The sequence below is a fragment of the Homo sapiens genome, chromosome 20 (genome assembly GCF_000001405.40).
Source record: "Homo sapiens chromosome 20, GRCh38.p14 Primary Assembly".
In the NCBI taxonomy this organism is placed as follows: Eukaryota; Metazoa; Chordata; class Mammalia; order Primates; family Hominidae; genus Homo; species Homo sapiens.
The window spans coordinates 62,410,143-62,437,659 of record NC_000020.11 but is presented as its reverse complement, the minus strand read 5'-3'; the positions used below and the strand labels follow the sequence as shown (position 1 = coordinate 62,437,659).

The window sequence follows — 27,517 nt, the reverse complement described above, 5'->3', positions numbered from 1 at the left end:
AACGGACCACACAGACCTCAGCGTCAGCCCAGGCAGTGTCGCCCAGAGCGCAGTGACCTGCCTGGTCCCCAGTAGCAGACGGCCGACCCCTGCTCCAGGGCCTTCCTCCCACGGCCTTGGGGAGGCCAGGGAACCATCCAGGCTACCTCAAGACCCCCAGTGCCCATAGTTGAGGTGGGGTCCCTGTCTACCCTGCGGGGGCACTATTGAAGTTTCAGAGGGGTCTCTCCCAGGATGTCCCCCCGAAGCCCCAGTCTTGGGGTGGAAATGCTGTCCTGGTTATCTTGCTTCTCCTCAAGGCTGAAGTGTCCACTAATAATTCCTCCAGCGCCTTTTTCTGGAGGTGGACCCCTGGCTTCCTCCCATCTCTAGACGGGGTGAGGCTCAGCAGGGTGTTCACGGCCACACTCGTGCTGCCCAAATCAACAACCAGCTGCCAGGCACAGCCCCCAGGGCCAACAGGACAGGCCTGGTCTCTGCCCTCCTGGGTCTCGCTTTTCAGGACAGAAAGGTATCAACTGCCACTTGCTGTCATTTCAAATGCATCACTCTGCATGAATGCTGAGGGCACATGCTGGCCAAGGGGAGCTGTTCCCGGCTCATGGGAAGGATAAAACCAGGGGAGAGGGGCAGCAGGAGCAGCTGTGCAAAGGCCCTGGGGAGAGGAAGGCACCAGCATGGCTGGAGCAGGGAGGAGAAGGGCAGGAATGGGCTGGAGGCAGGGGGGCCACTGAGGGCTTTAGGGGGCACTGGGGCATGGGGCTGTGGTGTGAAGTGAAGGCCTTTGCGGTCAGTCTGGGGCCTCAGGGGCCAGCACAGACCAGCTCTGTCTGAGAGGTGGGGTCACAGTCCAAAGGTCATGGGCAGGTTCTGACCCTGCCCTCCCCACTGTGCAGCCTGGACAGTTCACTTCACCTCTCTGAGCCTCCATTTTCTGATCTTTAAATTGCGACAAATACCAACAAGAAATACTAAAATTTAAAAGGCAGAAAATACCAAGTGTTGGAAAAGACGTGGAGGAACTGGAACGCTCCTGTGCCCTGGCAGGAATGAAAGGGCATGGCCACCGTGGGTAGCAGATGGGCAGTTTCCTGTAAAGTTACACAGATGCTTATCACAGGGCCTGGCCATCCGCGCCTGGGTTCCTGGAAAACCGGCACACGGATGTTTATCGCAGCTCCGTTCACAATCACCAAAAAGTGCAAATGACCCAGACGGCCATTGCAGGTGAATGGGTGAGCAGAGTGCCACCCACACAAGGCACATGTGCCACACACACAGGCCTCCAGTCCATTGTTCTGGCAGACATCAGAGCCACACAGAGCACCACTGCAGGGCAGGTGAGCCCCAGAATTGGGGCTTAGCCCACAGGGGTTCTTGGCTTCGCCCAGGAAAGAATTTAAGGGTGAGCCGGTGGCGTTAGCAGCTTTGATTGAAGCGGCCGTGCACAGCAGCAGCAGAGGGACCCCTCCTTGTGAGGTAGGACTCCCCCACAGGCAGCGAGCCCAGAGCAGCTGCTCAGAGGCAGTGCTGCACTCATATTCATACCTGCATTCTGAATTTTTAGAAAAAGAGTGGTACTTCCAAGTCATCACCATGGAAAGGGGGAGTAACTCCCAAGTGTCGCCGTGGCAATGGTAAACTGGCCTGGCACTGGTGGGTATCTTATGGAGAGATGCCTCTTCCCTGTCTCAGCCAGTCTTCAATCTGGTCCAGAGTTTCAGCCCTGTCTCTAGGGTCAAGTCCCACCTCCCGCCTCAGTGTGGTTCCATTTATACAAAATCCTATAAGAGAATTAATCTCCTGCAATAGAAAGCAGGGCATGGGGTGAAACTCACTAGGAAGAGGCATCCAGGAGCCCGTGGTGACCAGAACGTCCTACATTGTGATCTGGAGTCACACGACTGTCCGTATCTGTCAGAACTCATTGAACTGGACACTTGAGATGAAGCGTGTCCTTATATGAACTTGTGAATTCTTCAGCAAAATGTCCGTGACCAGGTAAATGCTCGATAGAGGTCATGATTCTTCAACAGGTGCTCCTCTGAGGGAGAGAAAACGTGTCTCAAATCCTGAGCAAAACACCTAAAAGAGCCGAAGGCAGGAGTGTGCCTGGACACCCACAGCAGCCTCTTCCCAGCCAAAAGTGGAGGCCACCCAGATGCCCATCAGCGGATGAGCAGATCACTGCAGTCCGTCCATGCAGCCCAGAACTTAACAGGAGCGAAGCACAGGTGCAAGCTACCATGGAGGTGAATCTCAAAAGCACAGTGCTCAGGAAAAGAAGCCACGCACAAGAGACTGCACGTGGCGTGGATACGGTGACACGAAACACCCAGCTGGCAAATCCGGGGACAGAAGCAGGGCAGTGTCGCCAGGGCTGAGGGAGGGATGGGGAGGACCTGCTAATGGGCACAGGGTCTCCTTTTGGGGGCAGGAAAATGTTTTGGAACTAGGTCAAGGTGCTGGCTCATGACAGAGTGAATGCGCTAAACACCCCTGAACTGACTCCCTTAAAATGAGTGATTTTATTTCATGGAAATCTCACCTTAGTAATAAGCATCTTAAACCCTGAGCAAAGCCTTGGCAGATCCTCACCCTGGGTGTGCCCGTGTCCCAGGGGTCCTCACGCAGGCACAATGGGGCAAGAGAGAGCTGCAAAGAGCCCTCAGGCCCCGAATTCCCCACTGACTCCAGCACAGAGCACAGCCGTGGGTAAGGGGCACAGCCAGCGAAGAAAAGGGATCAGTCCATCCCTCGCCCACAGGCGCATTCACCCAGGTCAATCCATCCCTCGTCCACAGACGCTCATCAGCGCCTGCTGCACGCAGATTCCAGGGTGGAAGGAGCTGGTCCCTGGGTCTGGGGGACTCGGCCCCACATGTGGTTGCATGGCTCAGGCCAGGACCTCGCCCCTGACACCCCAGGCATCCATGGTGCCATCCACGGTGCCATCCACGGTGCCTTCCACTGCCCCTTCACTTGCTCCTTTTCCAAGGGTCATTCAAGCCGATCTGTCACATAAAAATTTAAACCTGCACCAGAGGAAATTGTCATCCGACAAGGAGCATGTGGCAAGCCAGGAGGATTTCCTTCTGGAAAGGGCTTGGGTGAGACCGAGTCCTCTGGGTGTCCCCATCCACGCTCCCTGATCATGCCCCAAAACAGGAGGGCCTGGGCTTCCTGGAGGCCCTGTTCCTGCCATGTGTCCCACTGCCGAGCCATGCAACTGTTTGGACAACCCCAATGCCCTCGTCCTCTATCTCGGCTTTCCAAACCCTTCCCAAGGAGGAAGCTTCTAACTGAGCCGAAGGTTCACACAGAGGCTGCCAGAGCTGGCCAAGTTCATCAAAGCCAGGCGGCCCCTCCCCCGCCATGTCCCCATCCAGGACTCTGGCTCGGGCGGTGACGGATACTTCAGTCTCCCTTCCCACATCCTCATCATTTAACTTTCTTTTAGGCCATAAAATTCTGACTTTTAATATTTTCAACTCTAGTTTCTCATAAAACAACAATATTAGTATTTCTTTAAAGACACATAGACCATTAATGTATCTTTATGATGTGCGTGGGATCTGTGATGTATGGACCGTGCCTCCCCGACACCAGGCTCCTGGCCACAAGGCACAGGTTATGACATCTCGATCTGACACAGTCTCCGTGTGCTGCAGGACGACGCGGTTTTATTATCTGTGACGTGCCAGCAGACAGCCCAGCTCAGTCCGGGGATCGCTCCCATCACAGACACCTCCTTGTCCCTGCTCCGGCCTGCCCTCCAAAATCACGGATCAAGTTATCCCGACCGACAGAGATTTATGGTCCCATTTTACTCTCGTTAAATTCCCACAGCTCAAGGAAGCTGAGGCCACTCCGTGCAGACGCCCGGTCTGGGAGCGCTGCCACAACTGTTTCTAGCCAGGGAACAAAGTCAGCAGAGAGGAAGTCCAGAAGCACTGGCCAGGCTCGAGGTGGCCATCGCTGCCCCGTGGCAGCCCCTGCCAGCCTGAGCCATCATCCCTCCTCTGTCCGGCCCGTCTGCCAAGGCTGGCACTGCCCTGGAAAATGGTGACAAAATAAGAACCATCTCAGGAGTGTCGCTAGGACCCTCAGTGAGTGGCACAGCCCTGGGCCCTGGCACAGAACCCCTCTCATTTAACCCACACCCTCCAGGAGAGAGGCACCAAGGCAGCCCCACTGTCTCAAAAAGGAAGCTGAGGTCAGAGGTCAAAATGGCCCGGGGTACCCGCTGGTTCACCCCCAGGCACCTCTGCCCCCTCCCCGGAGCCTCCACCCCACACATCCCAGGCAAGAGCCCAACCAGGACTTGGCCTGGGAAGACCCCTCCCAGCCATCCCCCCAGTTCCACACACAGGGTCCCCATTCCACAGGTACCCTCATTTTCATAATATTTAACAAAGGTATAGGAACAAATAGTTTAGCCAGAGTAAAAGGCTTCTGTCGGCTCTTTAGGAAACACAGCCCTCCCCTAAACCACTCCCCAGTTCTCACCAAGCAGGGCCCATCCCGTCTCAGCCCAGAGGAACCTTTAGGCTTTGCCTCTTAGCACTTGAGTTTTCTGGGTAAGACACAACCCACCAGGGCCAGGCACGGTGGCTCACACCTGTAATCCCAGCACTTTGGGAGGCCGAGGCGGGAGGATCGCTTGAGCCCAGGAGTTCAAAATCAGCTTGGGCAGAAAAGAGAGACCCCCATCTCTACAAAACATTTTTAAAAATTTAGCCAAGCATGGTGGCGTGTACCTATGGTCCCAGCTACTCAGGAGGCTGAGGTAGGAAGATAACTTGAGCCCAGGGGTTCAAGGCTGCAGCAAGCTATGGTCTTACCACTGCACTTCAGCCTGAGCAACAGAGCAAGACCCTGCCTCAGAGAAAAAGAAAGGAAGAAATGTTTATGAAGTACCACCATATGCCAGGGGCCAAGACAGCAATGAACGGGCAAACACTTCCTGTCTCAAGAAGGTAGCACCCTGAAGACCCCTGAGCCAATACACAGTTTCTACCCAAGACTTGCATCTTACAGGCCTGTTGGGAAAAGGCCTGACCTACCTACAGTCATGGAGGGCTTCCCTGCAGAGGGGTGCTTGGATGCCCAAGAGCTGGCTGGGAGAGGGAGGGGAGCAGCCACAGGGGACTCCAGTCCGTTGGGGATCTGTGGGCCGGTCCAGGAGGGATCAGACCCTAAGGCTCTGAGGAGGCTGATGGCTGTCCTCACCTCGGTGGCAGATGAAGGTCTCAGGGAGGGGTCCACTCACCCCAGCCTGGGCCCCGTGTGCTGCTGTGTCCTATCTTTAGAGCAATCTGATGAGGCGGAGGCATAGGCAAACCCTTACAGGACAGAGGCCGGAGACGGGCACCATGCCCAGGTCTCCCTACCAGGCCCATTCTCCGGCCACACCTTGGGACCCTGGAGCCGATTCCACCCCACACTCTCACAGCCCCAAGAGTAAGGGACTCGCCTGCCTCACCCTAATCCTGTCTTTATATAAAACTTGGTTATTTGGTTCATTGTGAATTTTTCCCATTAATTTAGACTTCTTAAAAATACTACAGTGGCTGGGCGCGGTGGCTCACACCTGTAATCCCAACACTTTAGGAGGCCAAGGCAGGTAGATTACCTGAGGTCAGGAGTTCAAGACCAGCCTGACTAATATGGTGAAACGCCGTCTCTACTAAAAATACAAAAATTAGCTGGGCGTGGTAGCGCATGCCTATAGTCTTAGCTACTCCGGAGGCTGAGACAGGAGAATCACTTGAATCCTGGAGGCAGAGGTTGCAGTAAGCCGAGATCGTGCCACTGCACTCCAGCCTGGGCAACAAGAGCGAAACTCTGTCTCAAAAAAGTAAACGAAAGTTAAACTTAGGGTTACCATAAGCCCCATCAATTGCACTCCTAGATACACACCCAAGAGGACTGAGGACAAGTGTTCAACCAAAATCTCGCACACGCATGTTCACAGCAGGACTATTCACACCAGTGGAAATGTGAGACCACCAAGTGTCCGTCAGTTGATGACTGTGGTCCAGCCGTGCACTGGAATATTATTCAGCTTCAGCCAGGAACAGGAGCGAGACCCAGCTGAATCTTCGAAATATCGTGCTCAGAGAAACAGGCCAGACACGAAGAGCCAAATGCTGTTTGATTCTATTTTTATGAAATGTCCAGAATAAGCAAATCCATAGAGACAGTGACTGCTGCCAGGTACAAGGCTTTCTTGGAGGTGATGAAAATGTTTTGGAATCCGATCACGATGATGGCGGCACAAACTTGTGAATGTACGAATGACACGGAGCGGTTCACCTTAAGAGGGCTGACACTCAGGCAGGTGCTTACATAGAGAAGCATCCAGCAGGAAGCATGCTCACCCCAAGCAGCGGCTCACCTGGGGAGGGGATGAGACGCGACAATAAAAGGAGACTTTGGTCTTATTTGTCATGTTTAGTGCTTCGCAGGAGGGGGCAGGGGGCATCCTTGCAGTTCTTGTATTAGCAAAAAGTAATTTTTAAAAGAGGGTGCCTACGTTATCTTAAGTGAAACAACTCGGACAGAAAGACAAATACTGCAGGTTCTCACTCACAAGGCGAAGCTAAGTCACGTGTGCTCATGGAGCAGAGTGTGGACAGACGGACAACGGGGCCTCGCAGGGTGGAGGGAAGGGAGGATGGGTGGCTGCTCGGGGGTGCCGTGTGCATTGCACCCTCGACCGATGCACAGAAGGCCCTGACTTCACACAGTACAACGTCTCAATGCAGCATCATCGTACTTAAACCCCATGAAGCTATACAAATAAAAATCATGAGAACATAAAATAGGGTGACTAGCAGTGAGACCATGTGGAGGAAAGACGGGGGGCTTGATCCTTCCCCCCACCAAGAAAGCCTCCGCCCTCCCAAGTGCCCAGGCAGGGCCCACATCTGCACCCCTCCTGCCCAGTGCAGCCTGGCCCCATGGGCACACAGCACCCGCCATCAGGATGCCCCCCAGCCGGGCCAGCAAGGGCTTGTCTGCAGGGAGGGTGGGGATGGGCCCCGGTTGTCACAGAAGGCAGTCCCATTCCTGCAGGGCCGTGCTAATAGGTGACCCATTTATCTGGGGGCCAGGGCTGCAGGGCTGGCCTGACCTGGCCACTGCACTGGCCACCCCACCCTTTATCTATCGCTCCAGTAACACAAATACCAGGCAGCAGGGCCGGCTTTTAAAGGTGCGTTTTACAGCGAGATGCCTTTGAAGCTTATCTCCCACCCCTCCCAGCTCAGAGATAAAAGGCTGCCTCACCTCTGGGGTGGGGCATTGGGCCCCCATCTGGCCTAGGAAGCAGGTGTAGGGGGCCATGAAGAGCCCTCTTGGTCCCTCACCCCAGGCCCAGCAGCCCCAGCCCCTCAGGTGCAGGTGGGGGTGGCTGCCAGGGCTGGGAGGCCACACACACACTTGGGGCCTCATTCCTCAGCTGTATAATGGGGCGATGGAGCAGCCCCCACGCTGAAACCTGGCCACGGTTTGCCAGCAGCGTGTTGAGGCCTTGCTGCCTCATTCTGCAATGCTTCCTGCGAGCCCGGACGCCGGTGCCTGGGTGTCCATCACACCCCCCAGCTCCTGGCTGATCAGGATTCAACAGACATCGGCTGAATGAATGAACAGGTGAGTGGTACCAGGAGAGGAACCCCTTTCACCCTCATCAGCCCTGCAAGGGACAAGTAAACTGAGACTCAGACAGTGCCCTCTGTGTGCCCGATTCTCACAGCCAAAAGCCCCGTAAATGTGTGAGTCACGTTCTTGGCCATCCATGTGCCCAGAGCCTGGACAGGGCCTGGTGGGCAGCCAGGAAATGGGTCTTGGATGGTTGCATGAATGAACAAAGGGGCACACAAACCCACGGCTGCAGAAGGACGCCGACCTCCAGCGACATTCGACCTCCTCCTCCTCTCCCAGCCTTCCCTCCTTCTCTGCCCACAGTGCAGGTGCAGTGCCAGGGGGCCGACGATGTTGCCTGGAGTTCAGGGTAGGAGGCTGCTGGCCTGGGGTTGCCACCTTCTCCCTGGGGACCCAGCCACAGGCACAACCTGCACGGGCACCTCTGTCCTGTATCACCAAGGCCTGGACATGGCGGGGTGGGGTCCCTGGCCAATGAGCCAGGGCAGGCAGGCACGAAAACTGGCTCAGTCCAGGAGGTCGCTTGGCTTTGCTCAGGGAGGAACTCAAGGTCGAGCCGGTGGTGTTAGACAGCAGCTTTGATTGAAACAGCCATGCATGGCAGATGCAGAGGGACCCCTCCTTGTGAGGCAGGGCTCCCCACAGGCAGTGAGCCCAGAGCTCACATTCATACCTGGAGGCTGCAAGTTCAAAATCAAGGCACCAACTTGTTCCACGTCCGGAGAGGACTCACTTCCCGGTTCATAGACGGCACCATCTCGGGTCCTCACATGGTGGAAGGGGCAAGGGACCTCCCTGGAGCCGCTTGTAGAAGGACACTGATCCCCCAGCAGAGCTGCAGCCTCACGAACTTGCCATCTCCCAGAAGCCCCGCCTCCTAACATCATTGCCTGGGGCGTTAGGATTTCAACGAGAATCTGGGGTAGACACAAAAAACATCCAGACCACAGCACAAAGCAGCTACACATGTCCACGCACACATGTGCACACACACACGTGCAACACATGCACACACAGGCACACACATGTAAGACATGCACACACATTCGTATCCCCACACACACACACACACACACGTGCACACAGTCCCCACACAGGCACACACAAAACACACGCCAGCAGCAAGCAGACCCCACTCACAAAGGGCCCAGCCAGGAACAGGGAGGTGGCCGGAGGAGGGGCCTCCACGAAGTTCCCAGGCCAGCCAGAGCTGGAGTGGCCCATGCTGACCACAACCCCCTCCCAAGAGCCTGGTCCTGAGTGGGAGGGCATCGTGGGGCCAGAGATGACCCAGCCCTCATCCCAAACCCAGAGCTGGCCACCAGCCACCAGCAGGGGCCCTGCCAGGGAGCAGGAAGTCCGTCCTCCCCTCGCGGCAGCGGCTACAGGCCAGGCTCCCAGGCTTCCTCCTCTGAGCCCCGTGCATTCCTGGGGTACTCGGGTGCGCTGGGGATCATGGCCCCAAGGACTCGGGAACCCCCGCTCTGCTTCCGTGCAGAGCTAAGACAGGCTGAGGATGAGGCAGAGGCGGAGGTGGAGGCGGGGAGGAGGGAGTGGGGAGGGGTCGTGGGTAGGACACAGGGGGCAAGGCATGAGGGGGTCAGGGCTGTACCCCGCAGCCACAGTGTTGCTGTCCAGGGAACACACACGAGACCACAGTGTGAGGCTGCTCCAGCACCTGGGCCGTGCCACCCGGGGCCAGGCCAGCCCCCAGCCTATTTGCCCCCCTGGGCTCCACCTGGCCGGGGGCACCCAGCCTACCTGGAGACTGGAGAAGCCCACTCACAAGCACTCACAGACCCCGGGCAGACTGCGCAGACCAGAGGCCCAGCATGCGCCCAGTCCCCCTCAAGCAGAAGGCCTGCTTCCCCAGGCAGGGCGGGGCAGGCTGGGCGGGTCGCTTCCCATAGCAGCTGCTGGATTTCTGTCCACTGGGTTCTGGCAGGGACAGCTCTTGAGCTTATTATCCCCAATTTACAGACAGGGAAACCGAGGCCAGAAAGGGGACTGTCACCTACCTATGGTCAGCCCACGGTGAGCTGAGCTGTGAACAGCAGGAAGGACCACTCTGTGTCAGAGGCCCTACCACCTGTCCCGAGGTGGCGAGACAGCACATTTGCTCACTCCCACCTGCAGCCCCCGACCCAGGCACCCCTGCAAGCCCCCCACCCTTCCCCGCCCGGGCCCTCCGTGTCACAGGCACCAAACTGGATTCTCAGTGCTAACCAGCTTGGCTCCTGCAGCCCAGCCTCACAGTGATTATGAGGAAACAATCCCAACTCTATGTGGCTTCAGACCCAACCTGTCCGGCCACTTTCTGCGAGATGGCAGAACCCGCCTGGCGGCTCAGGGCAGTCTCTGCCTCCTTTCTGCTCCTGGCTGGGAGAATCGAAAACCTGTCAAGCGGGTTTGGCCAAAATCCTGTCTTGTTGCCTGTGCAGGTTCACAGCCCGCTCACTTCTCTCTCCCTGTGAAGAGCGTGGGGGACTCCGCGCAGAGGTCGACAGAGGTTGAGGCAGGGCCAGGAGCCATGTGAGTACCCGGGACCCCGGGGCCAGGCCACCCAAGTAGCCGGGTGAGCTGGGATCCCTGGCTGGGGTGCTCACCAGGGAGGCTGGAGGCCCAGCTTGGACTCCTGCGAGGAGAGCCGCGGGGGTGGGTGGGACTGGACGTCTTCCCTAAGGGGTGGCACAAGGCTGCTCCTGGTCCAGGGACCTAGCAACGGAGAGAGCTCAGTGGGCGTTCCTGGCAGGAGCTGGGTGCAAAGAGGCCAGGCCTAGTCTGGCACCAGGGCCCAGGAAGTGTCCATGGTCTGCTGAGGGGCTTGGGGCATCAGGGACAGGCTGGTGGCCTCGCCCTCCACCCTGGGCCTGTCCCGCCCCACCATCCAGGTTCACAAGAGGATAAGCGGGCGCAGCCACAGGGGTGAGGGTGGTGCAGGGGTGCAGCACCCGCAGCTGGGCACTGAGCAGGGGACTCCTCTGCCGCTGTGTCTGTGGGGAAGCAGCCACAAAGGCGGGCCTTGCTCAACCCCCTCCCCCACGGGCCAGGCCTCAGGGAGCCAGCCGGCAGGGCAGGAGAGCAGCCCGGCCCACCTCCACCTCCGGGAGGGAGTCAGGTTGCAGGGCTGCTGTGCCTGAGCTGCAGGGACACCTCGGCTGGCTCCTCTGTTTATGTGTACACACGAGTGCACGGGCGCACGCGCGTGTGGGGTACACGAGTGCATGTGCACACACAACATGCGTGTGCAGCTGTCCCGGGGGCCCTGCGGCGGTGTGTGCACAGGAGCCTGGGTCAGGGCTCACCACCAACATCTGTTCTACAGTCACAGAAACTGAGGCACGGCCAGACAAGCGACCTGGCCGAAGTCTCCATGGGAGAGGCTTTGCCCATTACCACAGAGGGTGGGAGGAGACTCTGAGGCCATGTCCAGGTCCAAATCTTGCTCCACCTGCTCATCTCTGATCTGCTTCAAGCCTCAGTGTCCAAACCTGTAGAATGAGACAATCAGCACTTCCTCCAAGGCCAGGTGGGCCCCGGCCACATGCATGTGCCCAACCTAGCTATGCAGTGGGTGTTCCACAGGGGCAGCCAGGAGGTGGACAGGGGCAGGGGAATCCCTTGGGGAGAAGCGGGTCAAGGTGCAGAGGGCACCACTCTGAGCTTGGCTTCCTCAGCAAAGCTGCAGGATGGTTTCAGTGCCCATGCAAGTGGGAAAAAGCCTGGTGTGGTGCTTGACACAGAACAGTATGTGATCAACAGCAGCCACTGCCACTGCCACTGCTAATGCCACTGCCACTGCCGCTGCCGCTGCTTCCACTGCCACTGTCACCACTGCCACTGCTACTGCTACCACTGCCACTGCCACTGCTAATGCCACTGCCACTGCCGCTGCCGCTGCTACTTCCACTGCCACTGTCACCACTGCCACTGCTACTGCTACCACTGCCACTGCCACTGCTAATGCCACTGCCGCTGCCACTGCCACTGCCACTCCCACTGCCACTGCTACTGCCACTGCCACTGCTATGCCACTCCCACTGCCACTGCTACTGCTACTGTCACTGCCACTGCTATGCCACTGCCACTGCTATGCCACTGCCACTGCCACTGCTACTGCTGTGGCCATCACCGTTGCTCCTGGATAGGTGGGCAGTCAGTCAGATGGACATACAGACAGCCCAGGCCTCAGAGACGGAGGGTACCAGTGTCCAGCTCCGCACTCCTGCCCCAAAGAGCCTGCTGGGGGTCGGTGGCTGGGGTGGAGAGCAGCCGGCCTGGCAGACGTCCTTGGAGCACTGGTGCCCAGGCGGCTTCTCTGGTTGAGTGCCCTCGGAGAGGCGGGGAGCCCAGTGATGCCCCGGATGCCTCCTGCTCAGACAGCAGAGGAGCTCAGGGGGCCCGGCCTCCCAGAGGACAGGGTAAGAACAGGCATCACTGTGGGTTTTGGCACTCGGCCGGACAATGTCCAGTCCTGCCAGGGCCACAGCTGGGCCTGTGATTCCCTGGCCTGTGTGTGGGAGGCAGGTGGCATCTCCCCTGGGTGTAGCCACAGAGATGCCGTGAGCCCATTGGAGTCCGTAGTGAGCAGCCGTCCAAGGATGAGTGTCATCACCGTCAGAAGCCGGACCTCTGCCCTGAGCGTGGGGAGGGCTGCGTCCTCCTGCACAAGGCCTTTGTGGCAATGAGACTTGACCTTGTCCAAGCACAGAGGGTCCTGCCGTCAGCACTGCTGGACACCTGGGGTCCCACATGAGGGAGGCGCAGGTCATGAGGGAGGCGCAGGTGAATCGGGGTCTCCCTCGGCTGCTCACTGAGCGCTCCTGTCTACGGAGCTCCTGGCCACACAGGCATTACCTGTGAGGAGCTTCTAAGCAGCCTGATACAGGGGCAGGGGTGCTGTCACCCCCAGGTGAGGAAACAGGCTCAGAGAGGAAAAGCAACTTGCCCAAGGCCGCATAGAGAGCAGAGATGGGTCCGAGAGCCCCACCAGGGCTGCTGACTGGGAAGCCCACACCTTTACCCTCCGCCCAGACTGACTCTCCAGCCAGCACCCTTCAGGAATGCGACCCCTGCCCCGCCCCAGCCAGCTCAGCGGGTGGGGGGGGTGCACCCTCTCTGCTGGGGCTCTGAGAATGCGTGAGGTAGGATTAACAACAGCAAACCTCTGCCCCCTCTGAGTGGCCACTCCAGAGTGCCCTGGGAGAGTGGGTGGAGACCCTAGGAGGGCAGGTGCAGGCTCTGGGGGGCCTTTAGAGGGAGGTGGGAGTCCTGAGGGACAGGCAGGGCCCACAGTGCATGTCCATTCCCTGGATGAGGACATGAGGTGGAAGGTGGTCTGCCAGCCTCAGGCTCCCCATGGAGGGCTCTCCTGGGCCCTGTCCGGGGGATAAGAGGCACCCGTTTACTGGATGGGCTCTGTTCCGTTCTGGTGAGAGCAGCACGTCGCCCCTTGGTTTTAAGGAGCAGTCCCCCGAAGGCAAAGGTGCTGGCACCAGTAGCACCTCACTGCAGGAGGCGGAGCTGCCGGCCTGGGTTAGCTGAAGCCCAGCCCGGCTCTCACTAGCTTTGACCGTGGGCAAGACGCCACCTCTGGGTCGTGTTCTCAGTGGCAAAATGGAGCAGAGGGCAAGGCATGGTGGGGTGAGAGTGGTGTCGAGGGGGACAGACATGCGCCCCTCACACCTGCCCCCCCCACGGCCCAGCTGCAAGCAGCAGGTGGGACAGCGGCTCACTAGCCTGCCCTCCCCTTCCCCCACTCCTTCCAGGGGGCTCAGCACCCACAGAGACCCTCCAGCCTGGACTCCCGAGTGGGAGGGTCTGGGAGTGGGAGGAGTGGCTGAGGGTGACCCTGGACCAGAGCTCAGCTCTCTCACCCCAGCCCTGTGAAGCCCCCCATGAGCCTCAGCCCAGCCCCTCCCCGCCCCGGTAGGCTTGCTCCCCCATCACAGCCCCACTGCAGCCCCCACCCAGGCCTGGAGGAGACCCTCCTTCCGAGTTCCCCCAGCCCCAGCACCCCTAGCTGCCCTTGGCAAGCCCAACAAACCCAGAGAAGGCTGACTCGGGAAGAAAAAGCCAGCCCCACTGACCCCGCTGCTGACCCCTGGCTCAAGGCTGCGGGTGCGGGTCTGGGTGAATTTCTACAATCCTGGTTCATTTCTTCTCCCCAAAAGCACCAAGGCTTGCAACTTCCCTCCACCTCCCATCCCTTCCCCGGAGCTCTCCAGCACTCTAGGAGTGCTGCAGGTGGTTTCGGGCACAGAAAGGATCCTGTGAGTGGGAGGCACAGCAGAGGCTCCGTCCCAGCCTCTGCACCACAGTGACTTCACTGGGAAGGAAGCCCACCTCTCGTGTGGACCCCAGAGACCTCTCCCAGGCCCGCAGGCACCATGGGCTCCCTTGGGCGGCTCCTTTATGGGCGTCGGCCCAGCCCACATGGCAGATGCTGGGGGCCAGGGAAGAGTGGCCTGTTGGGCGGGTCTGGGGGGAGTTTCAGGAGCTGCAGCTCCGCCCCCTCCTGGCCCTCCTCAGCTGCTTGAGCCCAGGGAGGCCCCGGCTCTGACATCTTCCTCCCAGGGGCCCCCTTGGCCAGGAAAAGCCAGTGCAGCTGGGTGCACCAGAGCCATGGGGAGGACGCCCCAGTCCACACAGGCAGAGCATGCAGACCCACAGCCCCAGGAGCTGGGCACAACCCAGATCCCACTTCCCACTGGGTGACTGAGACGGGAGGCTTGATCTGTTTGAGCCTCAGTTTCCCCATCTGGAGCGAGGTCTTCGTGGTGTGGTCAAGATTCCGTGGGCTGTCAGGAAGGTCTCAGTGTGTACGGAGTTCGGGAAACAGGGTCAGAACCACTGATGCTGGCCACGTGACCTGCTTCCGGCAGGCTCCATGCTGTCCCCACCTCTGGAGCTCAGCGTCCTGTTGGTCCCCTTCACCAGCAAAGACATCCCTCCCAGCCTCCCACCAGGAAAGCCCCAAGTCTCCCTAGTCCCAGGATCCCTCACCCACCCAACACAGAGCCGCCAACTGTCACCCCCACTCCCTCCGAGGGTGGCTGGAGGCCCCAAAGCCCAGGCGGGTCTGTGGACTGAGCCTCTGCAGCCCAGCATCCTGGTGCTCCGCCCTCCATGCAGCCCCACTAGCCCTGTCAGGGGCCCCTGGGGACGCTGCAGCCACCCCCGAACACAGGCCACACTCTGTCCCACACCCCTTGCTGCCCCACCAGGCTCGGCACTAATGCTTGATCACAGGTGCAAGGGCTCGGCAAGAGTTAGGACACCCTCCTTCCAAGTGGCTCCAGTCACCATCCCCACCCCGGTCCCCATCCCCACCCCGGTCCCCATCCCCACCCCGGGCCCCATCCCCACTCCGGGCCCCATCCCCACCCCAGTCCCCGTCCCCACCCCAGTCGCCATCCCCACCCCAGTCCCCGTCCCCACCCCAGGCCCCATGGCCTCTCTCGGGGTCCCAAGGCCTCTCTCGGGGTCCAAGGCCTGCCACCCTCAGTTAGAGGCACCCCAGCCCCACCCCCAAAGACGCCCACCACCTGACTTCCAGGGCCCCAGGGCAAGTGCCTCTTTCTGTGTTCAATGCACCCTCAAGCCTGGCTTGGGTGGTTTGGCCACGCTGGGATGGGCATGGGGCTGGGCGGCCACCATATTCCACCCGTCATGGGATGGGGTTAGGCGGTCCTGTTCGGGACGGTTCTGTAGAATGATGTTGCACACAGGACCCTCACGTGGGCGTCTCCAGGCTGACCTTTGAGAACCCAGATGCAGCCATGGCTGTTCCGCTCTGTGATCCACTTGGGCTGGGCTGGCCGTGGCGAGGCCTTGGGCATGGCCTCCAGCTGCGAGCCCGAAGTTGGATTTTGAGCAGAGCGGTGCACATCTGAGCAGAGACCAGAGCTTCCCAGGGATGGCCACCATGGAGAGTGGTCCTGGAAGAGATGGGGGGAGGCAGGGGGTTCAGGGAAGGTTGAGCAGGAGGCCAGGCAGGGAGGAGGCCGACACAGTTGTTCAGGTGACGCACCAGTGGTTCCACAGTAGGTTGGGTATGCACACACACAGCACACACACATGCACACTGGCTTGGGCACGCACACACAGAGCAAAAACAGATGCACACACATGGCACACACACATGCACACTGGCTCGGGTGTGCACACACAGCAAACACACATGCACACTGGCTCAGGCATGCACACACATGGCACACACCCGCACACTAGCTCGGGTATGCACACACATGGCACACACACATGCACACTGCCTATCATGCACACATGCCACACACATGCACACTGGCTTGAGCATGCACACACAGCACATACACATGCACACTGGCTCTGGCACACACACATGCACACTGCCTATCATGCACACATGCCACACACATGCACACTGGCTCAGGCGTGCACACACATGGCATACACACATGCACACTGACTTGGGTGTGCACACACATGCACACTGGCTATCACACACACACAGCACACACATGCACACTGACTTGGGCATGCACACACACGGCACACACACATGCACACTGGCAATCACGCATACACGGCACACACACGCACACTCACGCACACTGACTTGGGTGTGCACACACATGGCACACACACATGCACACTGGCTCAGGTGTGCACACACATGGGACACACACTGGCTCGGGCGTGCACACACATGGCACACACACACGCACACTGGCTATCATGCACACACACGGCACACACATGCACACTGGCTCGGGCGTGCACACACACGGCAAACACACACACTCCCCCACCCGACCGCGTGAAGCACAAGCCACCCGGTGAAGAAGTCTGAACTGCAGCGGTTTGTGTGCCACAAACACTGGCTTGCAGAGGCCCAGCCACTTGACCGGTATCCCAACCTCCCAGGCCTGGAGGCCAATCTGTGGGAGGAGGGGGAAGGGTCAGGGGAGGACAGACAGACAGTCACAGCGCCCCCAGGCTCACTCCGCCCAGCCCTGCCTGGGAGCTCTCCAGGCCACTGGGAATTTGGAAAGGTCTGGGAGGGTTTGACGATGAGTGCTCCAGCCCAGGTCCCCAGGCCCAGCCTGCAAAGGCCCCACGGCCCCTTAATTCTGGCCTTAGTCCGTGAGACCACAAGATACCCACTGCCTACCAAGGACCTCCTGAGACCTGTGGGTAGGGGAGGCAGGCAGGGAGGGAGGGGGCCTGTGACCTCTTCAGAGTGGCTCCTACCTCTTCCTGGAACCTTCCAGCATCTGCGTGTGGGAGCCGCTTCCGGGCAGAGGGGGCTGCTGTGGCTGTGTGTGTTTCCGTGTACCTGCAACTGCATGTGTAGCTGTGTCTCTATGTCTGCACAGCTTTGTTGTCAGCATGTGTCTGCGTATACCCATGTCTATGTGTCTCTGTGTGTTGTGTGTGGGCATCCCTGTCTGTGTACATATGTGTTGTATGTGTGTAACTCTGGGTGTGTGCCTGTGTGTTGTGTGTATACATGCTGTGTGGTGTGTCTGTCTTTGTGCATGTGTGTTATGTGTGTACATGCTCTGTGTGTGTCTTTTGCATATATGTGCATGTGTGTTGTGTGCACATGCTATCTGTGTGTGTGTGTGTGTGTGTGTGTGTGTGTGTGTGTGTGTGTGCCTGTGGGACAGGATTGAAGCTGCCACGGCATTGGAGGGGGACAGAGATCCCAGGAGGGAACTGAGTACAGGGCTCTGGTGAGAGGGAAGGAGGTGCTGTGACAGTGGTGTTGGGGCCGGGGTGTGGACAGTGGCATGGTAGGGTCTGTGGGGCTCTTACTGGTGAGGTCTGACTCCCAGCTTCACAGCTGGGCAGGTGCCACCAGCACCATCCAGCTCTTGCCAGGCTTCCCTGTCCCTCCATTGAGGTGCCAGGGGAAGGGCTTATGTGGGGACAGGCCAGGCACTGATGGGCTGGATACCTGGGGAGAACGGGGTGGCTCAGAGGTGCCGGCACTCACCCCAGATGCTCCCTGGCCCCTCCAGCCCCTCCCGCACGGCAGCCAGCACCCTGCCCTCTGGCCCCCGGCCACATACGTGTGGGAGGAAGCCACACAATGTACTATCTCTGTGCCTGCCCGTGGGGTTCGGGAGCCTCCAGGCCACCTCCCATGAGTAGCCCCTACAGCATGGCATGGGGTCTGCTCCATACAGACACAAGGAGCCCCAATCCTCTCCTGGACTCCACAGCCCACAAGCCCTTCCTGAGCGGATCCCTGTCCCCTCTTCCTCCTCTTCAGGATGGACACAGAGGGGCAGTAGAGGCTGCAGGCGTCTCCACAACCCCAGCGCAGAGGGGCCCGGGCCAGGGCCACAGGGAGCCATGGAGAGCTTCATGGAGTCGCTGAACAGGCTGAAGGAGATCCACGAGAAGGAAGTCCTGGGTGAGGGGCCAGGGACAGATGCCAGGCTAGGGAGGGGTCTCCACAGCCCTCACCTAAGGGTCGGAGCAGGCCACTGTGCACCCATGATCACCTCCAATTCCCACCAAGTCAGGGAATGGACCCCGTCTTTTTGGCCCAGGCAGGGGAGTCCTGACCCAAGGCCCAGAGCTACAACGTGGCAGACACCCTGCCTGGGCCCGAGTGCTGACCTCAAGCGGGGATGTCCTCGAGCCACTCCCAGAGTGTGACCCCGAGGGGGAGGGGCACTTTCAAGGGTTGCCACCAACACCTCATGGCCACCTGCCACCCGCAGGCCCCATGCTGCCCATGCTTTGTTCTCCCGTGGGCCGGCCTCCAGCGTGGCAGAAAGAAGTACCCACCCTGGCCGGCCTGCTGAGCTCACCAGGGCAGAGACAGCCACTTCCAGAAACAGGAGCTTATGGCTCTCTGGACCCATCCAGAACATGTCAAGGCACTGAGCTGCAACTCTTCTCTTCCTTCTAGGACACGCCCCAGGCCCCACCCCTGTCCACTTCCCCCACGAGGGACAGGGCCGCAGCCCCCACACCACCCCCAGTCCAGTCCCAGGGCCAGCACCTCCCCGTGGTCTTTCCACTGAGCACCCACACCCACCTGGAGGTCCAAGGACCCGGCTGCCTCCTAGGCAACCCAGAGAGGTGGGGCTGCTGGGGCTAGCCAGGCCCAGGTTGGATCCCCAAGATACGGCAAGGAGAGGGTCTGGTGGGGTCCGCCCCAGAAGCTTATCTTATTTCAACACTAGCTATGACACACACACACACACAAAATGGCCCCTCGGTCCCTCTACCTTTCACAGGTGGCTGGTCACTTGTGGCACCAGGGTCCCTGCTCACCCCCAGACACCCCCAGACAGATGCCGGAGGCAGAGACCCCAGGGGAAGCAACAGATGCTAGGCCGAGACCACCGAGCCTCAGGCAGCCCCGTGCCTGGGCACAGACAGGGGCTCACCTGGCAGGGCTCCCCCAGGGGGTGCAGGGGACAGGAGTGCCACATTGCAGCTCTGCCCAGACCCCGTGGTGGGGACACTGAAGGTGAAGCAGCAGCTGGGCCTGACCCCCCGCCCCTCTGCTTGCTCCCCCAGGCCTGCAGAACAAGCTTCTGGAACTGAACTCAGAGAGGTGCCGGTGAGTCAGGCCAAGCAGGGCCCCTCCTCACAGGGACCACACTGGCCACTTCATCCCCCTGAAGCCCCAGTGTGCCAGCACTACCACCGTCCTATGGTGCAGAAGGGAAACTGAGGCTCAGTGTGGGGGCGGGGGGAGTCACTTGTCCAAGGTCACACGGTGAGCAGGCAGCGAAGCCAGCACTTGAACCCAGTTGCGTCGGCCTCCCAGGGGCGGGGCAAGCCCCCTACTCGGGGCTTCTCCCACCCCAGGATCATGATCAGAATATCAACAATACGTTCACGGTGAGCTGGGGTCATGTCTGGTCAGACACTGGCGGGCGGGCAGGCTCCCTGCGTTCTGGCTTATAGACCCGGCTATGGTCCTGCCTGTGCTGTGGCACTAAAGTGGTGCGTGGACAGGACAGACGTCACAGAGGAGCGTGCAGATGACAGGGGGGGCGGTGTGTGGACAGGACAGACGTCACAGAGGAGCGTGCAGATGACTGGGGGGGCGTTGCGTGGACAGGACAGACGTCACAGAGGAGCGTGCAGATGACTGGGGGGGCGTTGCGTGGACAGGACAGACGTGACAGAGGAGCGTGCAGATGACTGGGGGGGCGTTGCGTGGACAGGACAGACGTCACAGAGGAGCGTGCAGATGACCGGGGGGGTGGTGTGTGGACAGGACAGACGTCACAGAGGAGCGTGCAGATGACTGGGGGGGCGTTGCGTGGACAGGACAGACATCACAGAGGAGCGTGCAGATGACTGGGGGGGGTGCGTGGACGGGACAGACGTCACAGAGGAGCGTGCAGATGACTGGGGGGGGTGGTGCGTGGACGGAACAGACGTCACAGAGGAGCGTGCAGATGACTGGGGGGGCGTTGCGTGGACGGGACAGACGTCACAGAGGAGCGTGCAGATGACTGGGGGGGCTGCGTGGACGGGACAGACGTCACAGAGGAGCGTGCAGATGACTGGGAGGGGGGCACCGGGTTAGGCGTTGCCCCCAGACCAAGGCTGCAGGTGCCGAATCGCGCTGCCCCCCCAGGCTGGATGGTGGGGACAGCGTGTGGCTTCCTGGATGGAACAGGACCCCACTTTAGCTGTTTCCCACCACAGGGACGCCCAGAGGATCGAGGAGCTCTTCTCCAAGAACCACCAGCTCCGGGAACAGCAGAAGACACTGAAGGAGAACCTGCGGGTGCTGGAGAACAGGTGGGCCTGGGAGGACACCTCGCAGCATGGCCAGGACCGGTGGGCTCAGGAGAGGAGGAGGTGACAGGGCTCCTCGGAGAATGAGTTTGGGAAACTCCAGGATAAACTGAACCAGGAAGGTTTCCCCACTGCAGGACATCTCAGAGCCTTAAGGAAATTGCATTTTCAAGATTTCTCCCCAAACTCAGTGGAACATGGGACACCTAGCCCACGGGGTGGGAAGAGGCCTGGGGCTCTACGGAATAGTTTGCAAAGGGCAGGGGCACTTCCCAGCAGTGGGGCAGTGAGTGTCCCAGGCCCTCTGTGGCTTCCGTGCCATCCCTCACACCCCCTGCGTCCCCATCCCTGCAGGCTGCGGGCCGGCCTGTGCGACCGCTGCATGGTCACCCAGGAGCTGGCCAGGAAGCGGCAGCAGGAGTTCGAGAGCTCCCACCTGCAGAACCTGCAGCGCATCTTCATCCTCAGTGAGCCCCACCCACCAGACAACCGGGGTCCTCTCCCACGGGGCCAGGCGACCCCAGGCCTGTTCAGCCCATGTAGGGGCATGGGGAAAGGAGGCAGGACGATCGGCCCCACACCACTGGGGGAACCTCACAACCCAATCTACAGACAAACACACAAAGCCCCCAGCCGGCGCTGGTGTGGCCCTCCCTCAACACAGCCTCCCTCCCCTGGGCTGGGGGCATCCCGGCCCCCACTGGGCGCGGCCTCCTTCCTGAGATGCGGAAGGTCCTGCAGTGCTGAGGCCCCAGTGGCCCTCCTGATGACCAAGGGCAAGCCCCCTTCCCTCGAGGCCGGCACTGCTCATTCAACAGCATCCAATCAGCCATGCACGCAGCCAGCATCCACGGCGCCCCTGCTGCCTGCCAGGCCCTGGGCTACGTGCTGGGGGCACTGCTGAGGGGCTTCCCTGGTGCTGTGACGACCCCACCCCTGCCCCTGTCCCCCCCAACCCCTGGCTGCTTTGCTCATCAGTGCCTTTTGCAGCCAACGAGATGAACGGGCTGAAGGAAGAGAACGAGACCTTGAAGGAGGAGGTGAAGCGGCTTCGGGGCCTGGGGTGAGTGGGAAAGGGTCCCAGGGCTCAGACACCCAACTCCCCAGCACCCCCCGAGCAGCACCCAGCACACGTCCCTGGGGGAACCGCCCATGGAGGACTCTCAGGCAGTGTCGGGACAGCTGCGTCACCTGGGGTCACCCAGGAGTGGGCCCGGCTTTTCTGATCATCTCCCGAGATGCTGCTCTCCCTCACCCTCCCTGTCTCTGCCTCCCCTCTAGAGACAGGCCCAAGCCCCGGGCCAAGGAGGGCACCTCGGACCCCCCCTCACCCCTGCTGCTCCCCTCCCCTGGTGGCTGGAAGGCCATCACAGAGAAGCCACCGGGAGGCCACGAGGAGGCTGAGGAAGACCACCAGGGCGTGGGCCTACGGGGAGAAGGTGCTGTGGGGACCGGGTGAGGCTGGGAGGCTGGGCCCCCGCAGGACCAGGGATCCTCCCCCTGGGGCTGGGCCGCTGCCCCTCTGAGCACCTCCCAAGCTCTTGCCCCTGGCTTCTCCTCCCACAGAAAAGCCAGCAGGGCACAGGACATCTCCAGTGGCCAAAATCTCCCCAGGGGCCACCCTGCCTGAGTCGCGAGCCCCAGACATGGTAAGGGCAGGGACCGGGAGCCCACCATGTGCAGCTGGGCCGGCGCAGGCAGGAGGCTGGAGGCAGCTGCACTTTCAGTATGCCAGCCTCTCATGCGCCTAACCCTGAATGTGCCCCTCCTTTGTCCCGGGCAGGAGCCACTGCGCTCCATTTGGCGTGGGTGGGGGTGCAGCTCAGCAGTGAGCAGGGGCAGAGTGGGAGCAGCCCAGGGCAGGCAGCAGAGGCTATGGCAGAGGCCACAGCAGAGGCCACGCATGCCCCCGCCCAGGCTGACCCACCCATCCTCACAGAGCCCCCAGCGCATCTCCAACCAGCTGCACGGGACCATTGCCGTGGTGCGGCCTGGGTCCCAGGCTTGCCCTGCCGACCGAGGCCCCGCCAATGGGACGCCCCCACCACTGCCCGCCAGGAGCAGCCCACCCAGCCCAGCGTATGAGCGTGGCCTCTCCCTGGACAGGTGCCCGCCTGCCCCACCCTCACCCAGAGTAGCCTCAGATGAGCTCTTCTCTCAGCCCCTGGTCCCAGGGCAGTCCCTCTGATTATCCCTCACAGCCCTGAACTTCTCTGGCTTGGCTTTTTCTGGGCACCCAGCCTGGAGCAAAGTTCCCACGTGGACACCTCCAGAGTGGCCAGGCCTGGGGCGTGGGGGCAGGGGATGTGGACATTGTCTGAGAACAAGTAGGGTGTGGAGGGTGGACAGGTGGCTAGGACCCTCCAGGTGAGGAGCAGGGGGCCGATGTCCCTGCCAAGAAGACACGGAGGCCTCGGCATCTGGCCCCACCTTGGAGCCCAGACCACAGGCCACCTCTGGCCAGGTCCACACAGCATGGCCTCCAGAGCTGGGGGCTGAGCCTCCCCTCCCTCCACTACCTGCCATGGGACCCATGCAGCTTGCTGCACCTCTCTGGACCTCAGTTTCCTCGCCTGTGGAGTGGGTGCCTGTCGTCTCTCCCTCTCAGGGCTCGCTGGGACGGTCACGGCTCCACACAGCCATGGTCATTCGGCTTCTCCTCCCTCACAGCTTCCTGCGGGCCTCCCGGCCCTCCGCCATGACCCATGAGGCCCCGAAGCTCTCCCCGAAGGTGGACCGGCTCTGCCTCCTAAACCGCCCCCTGTCCCTGCACCTTCAGAGCCCCCACAGCAGCCCCCTGGCCCCTGCTGCAGCCCCCAGCGACCCCCGGCTCCAGGACCTGAAGGCCAGAGAAGCAGAGGCCTGGGAGGAGCCCACAGAACTGCTGGGGCTGCCCAGTGCCCTGGCGGGCATGCAGGACCTTCGCCTGGAGGGGGCACTGCACCTGCTCCTGGCCCAGCAGCAGCTGCGGGCTAGGGCCAGGGCAGGCAGTGTCAGGCCAAGGGGCCAGCCCACACCCGGGGAGATGCTGCCCTCCCTACCAGTCGGCTCAGACTCTGAGGGCCCTGAGAATGAGGGGACCAGGGCAGCTCTGGCCGCAGCAGGCCTGTCTGGAGGGCGGCACACACAGCCTGCAGGCCCGGGCCGCGCCCAGAGGACAGAGGCTGCAGCCACGCAGGACTGTGCCCTAGACAAGCCCCTGGACCTCTCGGAGTGGGGCCGGGCCCGGGGCCAGGACACTCCCAAGCCGGCCGGCCAGCATGGGTCACTCAGCCCTGCCGCTGCCCACACTGCCAGCCCCGAGCCACCCACCCAGTCCGGACCCCTGACTCGCAGTCCCCAGGCACTCAGCAATGGCACCAAGGGGACCAGAGTGCCAGAGCAGGAGGAGGCTTCCACTCCCATGGTAAGGAGCCCGGTCCTGGCTCAGACCCGGTCCTCAGCCTCCACGTCCCCCACCCCGGGCCGGCCTCCCCCCAGACCTCGGGCTGCTCTTTTCCCTCTGCCCACCAAGTTGTTTCCCAGGGAGAAAGCGAGGCTGCCTCATCCACACTATAAAGGGAAAGGCAGGCCCCTCCACCAGCTGCAGCCTCAAGAGGGGTCCCACCGGCTGTCCAGGGCTGAGTTGGCGGCAAGGAAGTCTCCCAAATAAACTCAAGCCACCTACTTGCCTCCCCCCAGGACCCCTCACGCCCACTTCCAGGGTCCCAGCTCAGCCTGTCCTCTCCAGGCAGTACAGAAGATGAAGACACAGGGAGGCCTCTGCCACCTCCCCACCCACAGCCGCCTCCCCACCCACAGCCGCCTGACCTGGACGGCCACCCAGGTACAGTCAGCACCTGGGGTCAGAGTCCAGCTGGGAGGTGTTTTCCCCACGGAGAGAGAGGGTGGTGGTCAGTGCCCACCAGGAGTGGGTGTCTCCAGGCCCAGCTCTGCCCTGCCGATCTGACGGGGCAACCCCAGGCTCCAGGGCTTGGCTCTTCCACCTGCAGACACCGGAGGAAGCCGAGGGCCTGGCAGGAGCCTCTCTAACAACACTCAGTGAGGGGGAAAAGCACCTTAGCAATTAGGGCTGGCAAGCAGGCTGTGAGTGCCCCATCATGCAGCATCCAAGCCAGGGGCGGGAACCCCAACTGATGGGGACACTAGGCCTGGGCCCAAACCCCAGTCGGCCTCCTGTCAGCCAGTGCCCTGGGGCAGGTCACTTGGCCCTCCGTGCCTCAGTTTCCCCATCTGCAGAGTTGGCTCCACCCATCCTAGTCTGGCAGGCTCGGGAGACTCCCGGTGCCACCAGCCTGGCCTGACCCCACACTCTGCATCCTTCAGAGCCCAGCAAGGCTGAAGTGCTGAGACCAGAGTCCGACGAACTGGATGAGACAGACACCCCAGGCAGCGAGGTGGGTCCAGGCCACACACTCAGCAGGGCAGGGCCAGGAGGCAGTCCTCCTCGTGACCACACCCCCTTCTCCCCAGGTGGGCCTGAGCTCCCAGGCGGAGGCCACTACGAGCACGACCGGGGAGGGGCCTGAGTGCATCTGCACCCAGGAGCACGGGCAGGGTCCACCACGGAAGAGGAAGCGGGCCTCGGAGCCTGGGGACAAAGGTACAGCTGGCATGGGGCAGGTGCAGGGAAGGGGGCGAGGGGAGCCACAGCACCCACCTCTCCCCAGTGCCACCTCTCCTCCTGGCTGCCTGGAGAATGGCAGCCTCAGAATGATGGAGCCAAAAATGAACCTCAACCCTCCCCAAATGAACCCCACAGAGGAGGGCGAGGGTGGCCGGAGTGAGTCCTTCCTGTGCAGCCTCTGACTGTGTAGGTTGGTGTCAGGTCCTTCCAAATCTGAGCCTCAGTCTCCTCGCCTGTAAGGGGGCTGACATTAGGGATCGTAGGAGATTTCGGTGAGAGAAGGAGCCAGGGGATGGTCATTGTCCCCACCATCATCCTGGAAGGAAGGGTGTCCTGGTGCACAGGATAAGCCGCTGCCACAAGGAGCAGATCCCCAGGGCCCCTTGTCCACCTGCAGACAGGGTCAGCGCAGAAGGCACAGCCCCGAGGGGCATGGGGGCACGTTTGCTCCCCTGGGGAATTGCGGACGGCTCCAGTGTTTGCCAAGGGCAGTGTCCTTGGACCCAGCTCCTCCCAGTAATGCCGGCAGGAGCCTCGGCCCTGGTCCGAGGGTATCGGGACAACTTTTCACTTCCTGCTCTGGGCTCAATGGCAGCTCCAGCTGGGGTCCAGGAGCCCATGAGAGACTTTGAACACCTAATTGTATGGCCCTGGTTTTTCTCCGGGCAAGGCCCGCAGGCAGCAGGCGGGGTGGTGCCGCCACTGTGTGCCATTGTTGCCGGCAGGTGGCCATGGCCTGCGTCTGCCCGGAGCGGCAGTAGAGACCAGCACGGCCCTTATTTGAGGCACTTCCTGCTGAGTGGGTGGAAATGGCCCCGGGGGGTGCAGTCTGTGAGCCAGCACACCCTTGTGCTCCTACCTGAGCCGGGACCAGGGACGCTGGCAGGGGCTCCTGAGAAACTGCTGTGGCGATCAGTGAGAGCAGGTCCCTGCCCAGCATGAGCACAGCTCAGCGCCAGAGCCAGCATCCTCGTGCCTAGTGCCCCAGAAGAGTGGGTGCAGCTGTGGCTGCCTGTGAGCCTTATGACCCTGCCCAGCAGGTAGGATCATCACTGTTTGGCTGGTGCAGAAATTGAGGCTGAGAGGGGAGAGGTCACTTGCCCAAGGTCACAGGTCTGGGACTTGTGTCAGGATTCAAACCTGACCCATTCAACTCAGAGCCTGAGCTTGCTGTGCCTCAGAGATGGCCTAAGCCCAGCATCTCGGCAGGATCCCCGTCCCCGGACCATCGCAGGAACCAGGCGCCCCTCCCATGTGGCCCTAGCCCGGGGGCAGGCCTGCTGAGGCCCGCAGCCAGTGTCAGGCCAGCCAGTATGGCCTGGCTCCCTCCAAGGCAGGAAGGGGGCCACTGGGGTCAGTGCCGTGTTCGGGGTCACACAATGGGGAGAGTGTCCACCCTCCACCCAATTCTCAGGGTTCACCCTCAGATCGGGCTACCCCTGCTCTGGGCACCGGTTTCTGTAGGAACAAGGGTGGCCAGCAAACTTCCCCAAGCACCCAGCTCCCCGTGCCCAGAGGAGACCCAGGAGGCCCTAGGTGAGAGCCAGTGTTGCCTCAAAGGAAGGCACACAGCTCCGGCCTGACCTCCGGCCACTTCCCATAGCCTCCAAAAAGCCATCCAGAGGGAGAAGGAAACTGACAGCCACTGAGGGGCCCGGGAGCCCAAGGGACGCCGAGGACCACAGTCCCTCCCCCAACAGCAGCCCCTGGGAGGAGACCTAGCCAGCCTGCACCAGGGTCCACAGCGAGCCCGGGGCAGCCCTCCACCTGCCCACCAGGGCCTGGAGAGGGCACACCATCCAACCAGCAGGCAGCCCTGCACAGAACCCTGGGAGAAGACCTAGCCAGCCTCAGCTGAACCCACAGTGAGCCCAGGGCAGCTCTCTGCCTGCTCACCACAGCCTGGAGAGGGCACACCACCCAACCAGCAGGCAACCCCGAAGAGCCGGTGACGGGCACATCCTGGCCCACTTCAAGAGGGGCTGGAGGACCGAGAGGGGTCTCAGGCTGGCGATTCACCCCGTCTCCACCCACCTGGGAAATGCTCTGCGGCCCCTCCCACAGCCCAGCACCTGCTCCCTGAGGGGTGTGGGGACTGGAGGCGGGATCACTCAGGCTCCAGCCCAGCCCTACCCCTGCTGTGCACTGCAGCCGTTCCCAGGCAGTGCCCACGCTCTGGGAGGCAACGGACCACTCGGACCCCCACCCCTGCCCGCCAAGCTCCAAGCACAATCTTGGACGCCCCCTCGTGGGCTGACAGCAAACAGATGTCTGGCAGTGAGGGTGGAGGGAGACAGTGGGCGGCAGCACCCTCGAAGACCGGGTCCCCTGAGTGACGGAGAATAAACACTTGAAGAACCGTGCATGTGTCTGGCAGGGCCCCAGGACACCACTGACTGTGCCAGGGACTGGAGGTCACCCCCTTGCGGGAGGGCAGAATAAAACCAGCTCCTCTGC

The 27,517-nt window shown here is 61.2% G+C and overlaps 1 protein-coding gene and 1 long non-coding RNA gene across 2 annotated transcripts, besides 4 other annotated features; one reads left to right on the top strand and one right to left on the bottom strand.

Annotated features, from left to right (window-relative positions):
* LOC105372710 (uncharacterized) lies at positions 6,151-9,830 on the bottom strand. Its single transcript, NR_187662.1, has 4 exons — positions 9,687-9,830; positions 8,342-8,585; positions 6,596-6,796; positions 6,151-6,400 (listed from the first exon to the last, which is right to left on the bottom strand). It is a non-coding gene; the product is annotated as an uncharacterized LOC105372710 (long non-coding RNA).
* A 290-nt stretch (positions 9,831-10,120) lies between these two features.
* Positions 10,121-27,423, top strand: RBBP8NL (RBBP8 N-terminal like). Its single transcript, NM_080833.3, has 14 exons — positions 10,121-10,200; positions 17,930-18,073; positions 19,195-19,237; positions 20,341-20,436; positions 20,788-20,900; positions 21,424-21,496; positions 21,715-21,872; positions 22,000-22,082; positions 22,373-22,539; positions 23,104-23,839; positions 24,115-24,259; positions 24,760-24,830; positions 24,907-25,036; positions 26,664-27,423. Exons 2-14 carry the CDS (start codon positions 18,013-18,015, stop codon positions 26,780-26,782), a joined length of 1,995 nt encoding a protein of 664 aa, NP_543023.2. The 5' UTR covers positions 10,121-10,200; positions 17,930-18,012; the 3' UTR covers positions 26,783-27,423.
* Positions 10,522-11,281: an enhancer, noted in NCBI's record as "H3K27ac-H3K4me1 hESC enhancer chr20:61001435-61002194 (GRCh37/hg19 assembly coordinates)". NCBI's record gives its function as "activates a minimal SCP1, AML or CMV promoter by ChIP-STARR-seq in primed H9 embryonic stem cells {active_cell/tissue: H9 hESC(primed)}" and the evidence as "EXISTENCE:reporter gene assay evidence [ECO:0000049][PMID:30033119]".
* Positions 10,613-10,907: a silencer, noted in NCBI's record as "tiled region #8312; HepG2 Repressive non-DNase unmatched - State 20:ReprD". NCBI's record gives its function as "represses a minimal TATA promoter and a strong SV40 promoter by Sharpr-MPRA in HepG2 cells {active_cell/tissue: HepG2}" and the evidence as "EXISTENCE:reporter gene assay evidence [ECO:0000049][PMID:27701403]".
* Positions 13,860-14,651: an enhancer, noted in NCBI's record as "H3K4me1 hESC enhancer chr20:60998065-60998856 (GRCh37/hg19 assembly coordinates)". NCBI's record gives its function as "activates a minimal SCP1, AML or CMV promoter by ChIP-STARR-seq in naive H9 embryonic stem cells {active_cell/tissue: H9 hESC(naive)}" and the evidence as "EXISTENCE:reporter gene assay evidence [ECO:0000049][PMID:30033119]".
* Positions 26,917-26,976: an enhancer, noted in NCBI's record as "active region_18201". NCBI's record gives its function as "activates an Ori minimal core promoter by ATAC-STARR-seq in GM12878 lymphoblastoid cells {active_cell/tissue: GM12878}" and the evidence as "EXISTENCE:reporter gene assay evidence [ECO:0000049][PMID:35858748]".
* Positions 27,424-27,517: the final 94 nt, after the last annotated feature.